Source organism: Homo sapiens, chromosome 1 (assembly GCF_000001405.40).
Source record: "Homo sapiens chromosome 1, GRCh38.p14 Primary Assembly".
Lineage (NCBI taxonomy): Eukaryota > Metazoa > Chordata > Mammalia > Primates > Hominidae > Homo > Homo sapiens.
Genome location: NC_000001.11, coordinates 202,799,206 through 202,809,416, shown reverse-complemented (window position 1 = coordinate 202,809,416; position 10,211 = coordinate 202,799,206). Strand labels below are relative to the sequence as shown.

Here is a 10,211-nt window from a genome sequence, read left to right as displayed (position 1 = left end):
CACCTCAAATTCAAAATGTCCAGAAATGAACACAGTATCTTCTTCCCTTGAGTAACTCGCCTTCTGTATATAATTGGGGTGAATGTTCCAGCAATGCCAACGGGCTAGCATCTACTCAGGCAGGTACGCCAGACATCTGAATCTTAATACCTCGTCGTCCCCCCTCAATCTGTCACTATGTCCTAATTTTATTTCCTACCTTTGCATCCCTTCCTCATAATTATCAGCACCACTGCCTTAATTTAGATCCTATCATTCCTTGTCTGGATTATTTCAAGTCTTTCGCCCCTCTCAAGTCTGACCTCGTCATAGACTGTTTGTGGATGATTATTTTCCCTGCAACATCTCCACCTCCCAATAGTCTCCATCACTTATTAGCCATGTGAATTATGGCAAATTGCTTAACCTACCTATGCCTCACTTTCCTTATTGTAAAGTGGAAATAAGAGTACCTATCTCATAGGGTTGTGTGATTAATCATGCGATGCAATTAGAACAGTGCCTAGGATATGAAAGTGCCCCAAAATGTTACGTTATTATTATTATTACTACTATTGCCTTCTCATGAACATGCTATGTGTATGTTCAAGCTGTTATCTCTACTGGAAAATCCTTCTCCGTTTCCAATACTCTTTCCAAAACCCCCTCCTGGGTTTTACTGCACCTACCATTGTGTACTGACGTGATTGAATGATTGGCTTATGGGACTGATCCTTTCTACCAGACTTAACTTCTTCAGGGCAGGAACTCTGATACATAGTAAATGGTCAATAAAAGTTGGCTCAACTGAAACCCTAAGGATAAACTCCATCCACAGCGGAAGGCGCGGCCCCGCCCGATTCGGGGGCGGGGCGGGGAGCCGCGCGCGGAGGGTGGGTCGATGGGGGTGGGGTGGGACTCTTTTTCCTCGCCGTGGCGGCGGAGGCGCACGGCGTGGGCTTGCGGCGAGACGTCGTCGTCGGAGGCTGAAAAAGCCCAAGGTGCTGCCGTTGCCCGTACAACTCGGACTTGCTGTTGCTCGAGCCGCGTCTGCACGGGTCTCGGACCGAGCGGAGCTCGCAGCCTCGGTCCCGGAGCCCACCTTCGCCTCGCCCTTGCCCAGCCTGCGGTGATGGAGGCGGCCACCACACTGCACCCAGGCCCGCGCCCGGCGCTGCCCCTCGGGGGCCCGGGCCCGCTGGGCGAGTTCCTGCCTCCACCCGAGTGCCCGGTCTTCGAACCCAGCTGGGAAGAGTTCGCGGACCCCTTCGCTTTCATCCACAAGATCCGGCCCATAGCCGAGCAGACTGGCATCTGTAAGGTGCGGCCGCCGCCGGTGAGTCACGCCAGCACCCCGGATCCAGCTCGTGGCTGGGGGAGGGAGCGGGGACGCGCGGGTCCGGGGAGGCCCGAGGCGCGGGGGGCGGGGAGCCGGTCGCCCCGCCGGCCTCGTCAAGTTTGGGGCTGCCTAGAAGGTCGGAGTTGAGGCCGGGGGAGGAAGACGGGGGCTTCTCCAGGGTGGGAGATGAGGAGCGTGGGAGAACCGGGGGCTTCGGCGGTGCCATGGGAGGGCCGGGTCGCCGCGGGGCTCGGGCGGCCGGGTGCGGAGGTTCGGGTTCGGTTCCGGATGGAGTGATGGCAGGAGCCGGGGGTGGTCGCGGGGGAGTTTCCTCACGGAGCCTGGCGGAGGCGCGGGCTGGAGGGAGGACTGTGGGCCCGGCGAGGCTCGGCAGGCTGGTCCTCGCCTCCGCTCCCGGGGTGCGGGGGTGTGTGATGGGGTGGGGTGGGGGTGGGGGACTTGCGAGTTGTCGTGCGAGGAGGAAAGTTTTCAATATGGCGGCGGGAGCCCCTGGTCCTTTGTGTGGTGGCGGCGTCGGCCCGGAGCGGCCCTCACCTGGGCGCCCCACCCTCCAGACCAGGGCACCCCTCCACCGCCTGGTCCCCGGGCCTCCAGGTGTCCCCCGGGCCGGGGTCAAGAAGGGGGCGGCCAGCGCTGGCTGGGGGCGGGGAGGAGCCGCGGGTCCAGCCCCGGAGCGGATGTTTGTGGGGGGCGTTAGTGTCTGGGGGACACTTTTGGGGCGGCGGGGGCAGGACGGGCGGCGGTGGGCCCCGATGCCCGCCCGCGCTCCCGAACGCGCACACTCCCGGCTTCTTCTGGCTCAGCCGCTCGGCTCCCCGGGGAGGCCTGGGCTGTGCTGGTGGGGATGGGGTCCGGGCGAGGCCGTGTTTGTAGGGGAACGTCAGACGGAGAGACCTCCGAAGATTTCGTGCTCGTTTCCCCCGGCCCTCAGGCTCCGGGCACTGAAAGGCAGTCACCCACCGCAGCCCTTCCAGCCCTGTCTACAGCGCCTCGGGCCTGGGGGCAGTGAGTGAGGGGTGGGTGTTGCTGAAACCATCCGTAACGGCTCCAACGTTCGCTGAGGAGAGCCCGGCCAACTCCTTCCTCCGTGGCCGGAACTGGGTGCGCTCCTACACCCCTGTTTTTTTTGCCCACCTTTCGGGAGGGTCTGAGTCCGAGTTGGCCTAAGCGGCGGTTGGACGGGCTGGGACCGTTGGGAAGCGGGTTTAACTGCCTTTCCTGCTGTTTAAGAATCTTCTCCCCACTCTCTTCCCCCACCCCCACTTCTAAGTAGAGGAAGACCCCTTCCCACCCCTTTCTCCCTTAAGCTTGCTTTTTGTAATGACATTTTGAGTTGTAGGGATTCTGTTTGTAATCGTTATGTTTTGGAAAGCTGTTTTCAGGGAGATCCCTGAAAATAAGGCTTCTTAACCCTTCCCTGCCCCAAATTAAAACACGGACACCTACTTTAGTTTTTCTTAAGCAAGTTTGAAAATGGAGATGAAATACATGCTTCAGAAAATAACTGGCCAGCGAATATGAGGGAAATGTTTGAAAATAGATCCATTTCTTACAGCGAAGTGGGCAAGGTTGATTCTTGCTGCTTAAGGGAAGTACGTTTCTCTTAGTGCAAAGAGGCCTGCAGAAGTTATAACAGGGCTGGTTAGAGCCAAGGTTTTAATTCTTGAATAATAGGTCATGTTTCACACTGTAGTAATGTAGCTTCATGTCACATGCTAGGAAGGGTGAATATGAATATTGCACATTTGCATAATGGGATTTTATTCAGAAATTGGGTAACTTGACTAAGTTCTTAGTAACCAAAACGTGGGGAGTCAGGTTCCTGGGAGGTGTCCTCCATGTTGGTATTGTGGTATACCAGGGCTGGGGTAAATCCTTTATCTTGTTTTCTTGTTCTTTGCCTTTTAGAGGGCCCTTTTTCTGAAAAGATAGTGTTGCTCTGGTTAGGCTTGGCTACCCATTTCCTCATCTTGGCTAGAATATTAATGGTAATCTTTGCAAAATGTGTGATCGAATTGCCTTTTTCTCACTCTGAATGTCAGACAGACATGATGGCCACCATTTTGTATTGAGAGTGCTACATAGTACAGCCTGAGGAAAGGGGTTAAAGAGGCACCAATAATCTACAAATACAACCAGTACTCTGTTTGGAGACCTCCTTTGTGTGGAGGGGACTTGCTTCCTCCTTTGTTTAACAAACTCCTTTGCCAAATGGAAAGAGTTTGAGAGTATTTGTTGTTGATATAACCACAAAAAGGGAAATCTTTCCAGAAGTTGTAGCTCTTGAAGAGGGGTCTTGTTGGAACAAAGGCTTCTTAAGAGATGTAAACAGTCTTTGTTTTAGAAACTGTTTTGTTTTTGGGAAAGCTAACTGTGAACAAGTGGTTTCATATAGTTGATATATAGCAACAAAAAAACCCTTCAAGAAGTGTGAAATATTTTCCATGGTGATATATATAATGTCTGTATTTCTGGATGATTTTTGTTCACCGAGTTTTTGGAACACAAATGGTTATATTAGAAGGGGAATTGGAACTATTGGTATTTTACTTGTTAGAAGGTAAGGAGAAGTATAAAACATTTCTGTCTCCTTTTGTTCTTACCTTTGTATCTTTACCAATGGTACTTAATATAGTTTCAGTTTATAGCTGCTTTCTCAGTGAGACTCCCAAACTGCTTGGCTTCTGAAAACTTAGAGTACTTACATTATTTTGTATATGGCAGCTTAGGGGTTCTCAGAAATTTGAAAATATAGTAAGATAAATGTGAGAAAACGTGATTAAGTCAAGAAGACTATACTTCAAATCTGAGTTTGAAGTTTAATACAAACCTTTGTTTCAAATTATATCAACTATGTAGGATAACCAGGCTTGTTTTCTGGACCAAAACCTTCTTAAATTTACAATTCATCTGGCTTCTGGTTTTGTCACCTTTAAAATGCAAATTTTTAATTTCCTCCATGATACTGTACTTAGATGTCTGTTTAAGGACAAATGATATTTTTCCATATCACTTTGTGGTATTTGGAGATGAGTAATTTTAAGGGTGTAACTATTAGGCAGAAAAATAGTTGGCTGCTCAGTAAATACTTTTTTGTCTCCCAAATTTTGATAGGAATATATTTATGGCTTTAGTAACTTATTTTCTTGCTTTCAAATGTCTCACATTTGGCCATAGATAGATTCCACAAATTTCTTTTTTTTTTTTTTTTTGAGACGGAATTTTGCTCTTGTTGCCCAGGCCTGGAGTGCAGTGGCTCATCACAACCTCTGCCTCCCGACCTCAGGTGATCCATGCGCCTCGGCCTCCCAAAGTGCTGGGATTACAGGCGTGAGCCACCGTGCCGGGCCTAGATTCCACAGATTTCTTCTTTGTGTCCGGAGAAGGTTTAAATCAAACCCCAGAGGCCACAAGAGACAAAAATTTTTCAGCTTTAACTTCTTGTGGTTACTAGTTTGATTCCTTCATCTTTATAGCCAAGTGTAAAACTGCCCTTAAATGTTTTAATACAGTCACCATTTTTGAGTGAGCCTGTTGGTTCCACTCCTAGAGAAGAGGGAGGAACTTATACACTTCTTTGTATGGTAGAAGTGTTAATGATATGGAGCTCATTTACTCCCTTTCCAGCGTATCATTCTCCCTAATTTGGGGTTTGATCGACTTAGGCCTAACCCTCTCTCTGTTTTCCCTATTTCTTTGGTGTCATGAAATCTTTCCCTACTTGTATCTTTGGCCACTTTAAGCCTTTAACGTTTAGAGAAGAGGCTTATCAGTAGAAACATCCTTGAGCAAAGGAAGAACTTATAACTACTTAAAAAAAAAACCCTTTTATTGAAATATACCATACAATTCACGAATTTATGATGTGTAATTCAGTGGTTTTTGATATTTTCAGAGTTGTACAACCATCACCACAATCAATTGTAGAACATTTTCATCTCCCTCAAAAGAAACCCTGAACTCACTTGTAACTACTTTTTTTTTCCTTTTTTTAAATTATACTTTAAGTTCTAGGGTACATGTGTACAACGTGCAGGTTTGTTACATATGTACACATGTGCCATGTTGGTGTGCTGCACCCATTAACTCATCATTTACATTAGGTATATCTCCTAATGCTTTCCCTCCCCCCTCCCCCGACCCCTAACTACCTTTTAAGACAAATTTAGGACTATAATGCCCAGGAGAAAAACCTGGTAGGAGGTTGGATTAAGTCCTACAGTTCTAGGCCACAAATGTCTACCTTTTTTTTTTGAGATGGAGTTTTGCTGTTGTTGCCCAGGCTGGAGTGCCATGGCGCAACGTCATGTTGCTCACTGCAACATCCGCCTCCCGGGTTCAAGCGATTCTCCTGCCTCAGCCTCCTGAGTAGCTGGGTGGGCATGCACCGCCACGCCCGGCTAACTTTGTATTTTTAGTAGAGACGAGGTTTCACCATGTTGGTTAGGCTGGTCTTGAACTCCTGACCTCAGGTGATCCACCCACCTCGGCCTCCCAAAGTGCTGGGATTACAGACGTGAGCCACCGCACCTAGGCCACAAATGTCTACCTTAAAGCTAAAACAAACTTCATTTGTTGTAGTTATTGAATGGGTGTTTAGCTAAATTTGACTTTGCCAGTGGTAAATTGGGCACATTAGTAGCCACAAACATATCTACCCAGTTGTAATTCTTAGTGAACTAATAAACAAAACGTGTAGACTTTAAGAATGTAATGTGAATGATATTGCAAATATGAGTCAGCTAAAGATTTGAGTCCCCACCCCCACTGGAAAAATTTCCTTCCCTTCCTATGGTTATAGGGTATGGTTTTAAACATGCAATCTAAACTTTTAAAAGAGCGAAATGAGTAGAGAATTACCTTTGAAAAACATTAATAAACATTCTCTATTAAAAGCCAGGGCCTGAAATTTCCTTTTTTTTTTAATCTCACTCTGTCATCCAGGCTGGCATGCAGTGTTGCAATCAAGGCTCCCTGCAGCTTCCACTTCTTGGGCTCAAGTGCTCCTCCCTCCTCAGCCTCTAATAAATTGTAGGGATGCGGTTTCTCAGTATGTTGCCCAGGCTGGTCTTGAACTCCTGGCTTCAAGCAGTTCTCCCGCTTTGGCCTCCCAAAGTGCTGGGATTACAGGCATGGGCCAGTGCACCTGGCCTGAATTATTTTGTTGAGACACTGATAAGAAAAATTAAGAGAAAATTATTAAACCTTAATTTTATTCTTTCTCTGTTTCTAGGGTAATTTTCTTTATGACCTGTTGGCCTAGACTTAGAGTATTAGAGTATTTCAGGTTGATAGATTAGTGAAAAATGTGTTTACTGGTTTACATTTATAAGTGGGTAGAAATCTGCCAGTGGGGGAATTTTCTCTTGGGTAAAAAAATACAGGGCTGGGCATAGTGGCTCGTGCCTGTAATCCCAGCACTTTTGGGAGGCCTAAGTGGGCGGATCGCTTGAGGTCAGGAGTTCAAGACCAGCCTGGCCAACATAGCGAAACCCTGTCTCTACTAAAAATATAAAAATTAGCTGGGCATGGTGGCAGGCGCCTGCAATCCCAGCTACTCGGGAGGCTGAGGCAGGAGAATTGCTTGAACCCAGGAGGCAGAGGTTGCAGTGAGCCGAGATCACTCCATTGCACTCTAGCCTGGGCAACAGGCTCAAAAAAGAAAACAAACACAACAACAACAACAACAAACAACAACAACAAAAAAACAGTGTAAACTATTTGATTAAAAAAAATGAACCCTGTTTAAATGCTGTAATGGGACCTTTTTGTAGACTTTTGTAACCTTTCATTGTTGCCTTAATTGGACCCCATTAAGGTTGGCTGTAGAAAAGGATAAGGGAAAGCCCGTGCCCCTAAAATGAAAGTGCTAATTAGGTTTCTGGTGTTCAGGGTTTTTTGAAGCCTATGCGTGTACTTCTTTCCAAATGCCATCTATAGGTTTGAAAAACTACTAACCTAGGAGTACCTTGCTTTCATCCTTGGACAGTCCTCTCAGTGTTGAGATTGTTGTGCAATTTTTTTTTCTCTAAGAGAATTTGGTATTTTCTAATATACCTGTTATAGTACAGATCATTGGCAGCCTCAAAAAAAAAAAAAGATGGAATGAAGGTTGGGAACTGGAGGGCTACACATTCTCAAATTTAAGTTTGGGTCTCTTGAAGGGGACTCACCAGAGGGCGTACCGACAAGTCTCTTTGGGGTGAGTGGGTGGGTGAGTTGATACCTTGGGAAAGCCATATTCTTAGGCTGCTGCCATTGACTTTTGATTATTTAAAGTTTGAGATACTAATAACTGGATTTATAAAATCCAGATTGTGAGAAACTTGTTTTAGACATAAGAATGGTATGCAATTGAGAAGTATTTCTTAAGTATTTATTAACTGCTGTGTCCTTGCATGGGATTAAAGAGGAAAAATTAATATGAAAATTAAATGAAAATTGTAAATAAAAATTAAATGAAAAATTAAATTGTACACTTCCACAAATTCATTCAGAAATGTTTCTTTTTCTGTCATTATTAGATGAATTCTTTGAATTTGCTTTTTACAACCAAGTTTATGAACCAGATTAATGAAGAAAAGATGTCTCTAGGACAGTGAGGCATTTCAGTTCCATAATTGTAGGATGTTTGGAACAAAGATGCAGAATTTGACTGGAATGCATTCTTTTAAGTCCTCTACCCCCCACCATGATTTAAGACACTCAGTCCTTTAACTGTAGACCATCCTTCTTAAAGCACCATCAGCATATATCTTTACACATGGCCTTAGAGTCATCCCATATGTGCTGCTGCTGCTTTTTTTTTTTAAGCATTTAAGCTTTCTTTCGGATATAAAAACTAATCATTTTGTTCTGCCAGACCCGTCACTTCAGGGAGTAAATTAAAAAATTTTATTACAAAAAATGTGAAGCATACACAAAAGTGTAAAGAATAGTTACTTTAGCTATTTTCCTGGATAGAAGAGCAGAAAGTGGAGTAGCAGCATTGGAGTTGAGACAAAACTAGGGATCTTCATTTGTAAAGAACAGCTTAGCTTAGCTTTTGTCCTATTCAGGTTATAAGTGACATTTGGGCAATTATGAGGTGAGCTTTCTAGCCTTCAGTCAGTGATGGTCATTTTGCCCAATTAGGTTGGGGATAGTATTTCTCAGTTTTAGTCAATGGCTTTGTTGCTTTGTTACACATTTGTTGGGACATGTCAAGTAACTTGACCAGCTGCAGGTCTGTTGGCACATGGAGGTGTTGGAGTCGGTTGGTGGGTGGAGGTTAGTCTCTGCTAACATCACTTCATTTCTTTATCTGTTCATTTTTGTATTGGCCAGACTTTATCTGAACTTTCTTTTCTTAGGAAGGGGCCTTCTGGTCAGAGTGGGTATTTAGCCTGACAAAACAGAGCTGACATCAGTAGTAACCAAGAAACAGAATGATGTTCTAGCCAGGCATGGTGGCTCTCACCTGTAATTCCAGCACTTTGGGAGGCTCCAGGCAGGAGGATCGCTTGAGGTCAGGCGTTTGAGATCAGCCTGGGAAACATAGTGAGACCCTATCTCTACAAAAGACAAAAAATTAGCTGGGAATGGTGACGTGCACCTGTAGTCCCAGCTGCTCGGGAGGCCAAGGTGGGAGGATGGCTTGAGCTCAGAAGTTCCAGGTTGCGGTGAGCCCTGATCACGCCACTGCACTCCAGCCTGGGCAACAGAGCAAGACGTTTCAAAAACAAACAAAACAAAATGGCTGGGTGCGGTGGCTCACACCTGTAATCTCAGCACTTTGGGAGGCCGAGGCAGGTGGATCATGAGGTCAAGAGATTGAGACCATCCTGGCCAACATGGTGAAACCCTGTCTCTACCAAAAGTACAAAATTAGCTGGGCGTGGTGGTACGCACCTGTAGTCCCAAGCTACTCGGGAGGCTGAGGCATGAGAATCACTTGAACCTGGGAGGTGGAGATTGCAGTGAGCCGATATCGCACCACTGCACTCCAGCCTGGTGACAGAGCAAGACTCCGTCTCAAAAAACAAAAACAAAACAAAAGTCCCTTTCTGGAAAAGAAGTTTTAGGGAAATGAGAATTTGAAGAGTCTGATGAATTACTTGTTAGATTGTTAGGTTCAATTTAAAAATTAGGTCATTGGAAAATATTTTCTATTAATGTCCCTTAAAATCTAAAGACTTCTCCCTGCTTCCTTGAAATAATAACTTCATTTCTGAGATAGGAGATGCCACCAGGCAGGTGGTCACATAATGACCTTTTAGAACTTGTTGATTTCATTTCACATGGTAATCTCTTGTAAAATGCTGTGAAATTTAACTATTATTTTGCAGGGATAAAAAAGAGGTTTATCAAGGGGACTGTGTGTATGTATATTTTTATTTATCACGTTTTTTTCTTTTTTAAAAATTACTTTTTTTTTTTTTGAGATGGAGTTTCACGCTTGTCACCCAGGCTGGAGTGCATGCAGTGGCGTGATCTCGGCTCACCGCAACTTCCGCCTCCCAGGTTCAAGTAATTCTCCTGCCTCAGCCTTCCTAGTAGCTGGGATTACAGGCACCTGCCACCACACCCGGCTAATTTTGTATTTTTAGTAGAGATGGGGTTTCTCCATCTTGGTCAGGCTGGTCTCGAACTCCCGACCTCAGGTGACCCGCCCACCTCGGCCTCCCAAAGTGCTGGGATTACAGGCGCGAGCCACCGCGCCCGGGTTAAAATTACTTTTCAAAAGCCAGTTCCTCTATTATGTAAAAGAGGACAGGAGGGGTATTTTCTAGATTTTAAAAAATAGGTGGGTAGAGTCTTCAATCTAGTTACATCATGACCTTGGACAAAGTCATTTTTCTGCAACGTATGCTTGTCATCTGCTCTAAGGGGA

General features: G+C 45.7%; 1 protein-coding gene across 6 annotated transcripts in view, besides 4 other annotated features; it reads left to right on the top strand.

Moving 5' to 3' along the window:
* Nucleotides 982–1,191: a silencer, noted in NCBI's record as "silent region_1706". NCBI's record gives its function as "represses an Ori minimal core promoter by ATAC-STARR-seq in GM12878 lymphoblastoid cells {active_cell/tissue: GM12878}" and the evidence as "EXISTENCE:reporter gene assay evidence [ECO:0000049][PMID:35858748]".
* Nucleotides 996–10,211, top strand: part of KDM5B (lysine demethylase 5B) — an 83,927-nt gene continuing 74,711 nt past the window's right edge. For 3 of the 6 annotated variants that reach the window (NM_001347591.2, NM_006618.5, NM_001314042.2), the window contains exon 1: nucleotides 996–1,315. In NM_001347591.2, the coding sequence (NP_001334520.1) occupies nucleotides 1,112–1,315 (204 nt within the window). In that variant the 5' untranslated portion in view covers nucleotides 996–1,111. Of the gene's footprint in view, nucleotides 1,316–1,407; nucleotides 1,455–2,117; nucleotides 2,441–10,211 lie in introns of those variants that run through there. The other 3 variants (NM_001399817.1, XM_011509091.3, XM_011509090.4) reach the window with 3 other exon arrangements.
* Nucleotides 1,222–1,421: a silencer, noted in NCBI's record as "silent region_1705". NCBI's record gives its function as "represses an Ori minimal core promoter by ATAC-STARR-seq in GM12878 lymphoblastoid cells {active_cell/tissue: GM12878}" and the evidence as "EXISTENCE:reporter gene assay evidence [ECO:0000049][PMID:35858748]".
* Nucleotides 1,822–1,941: a silencer, noted in NCBI's record as "silent region_1704". NCBI's record gives its function as "represses an Ori minimal core promoter by ATAC-STARR-seq in GM12878 lymphoblastoid cells {active_cell/tissue: GM12878}" and the evidence as "EXISTENCE:reporter gene assay evidence [ECO:0000049][PMID:35858748]".
* Nucleotides 2,042–2,111: a silencer, noted in NCBI's record as "silent region_1703". NCBI's record gives its function as "represses an Ori minimal core promoter by ATAC-STARR-seq in GM12878 lymphoblastoid cells {active_cell/tissue: GM12878}" and the evidence as "EXISTENCE:reporter gene assay evidence [ECO:0000049][PMID:35858748]".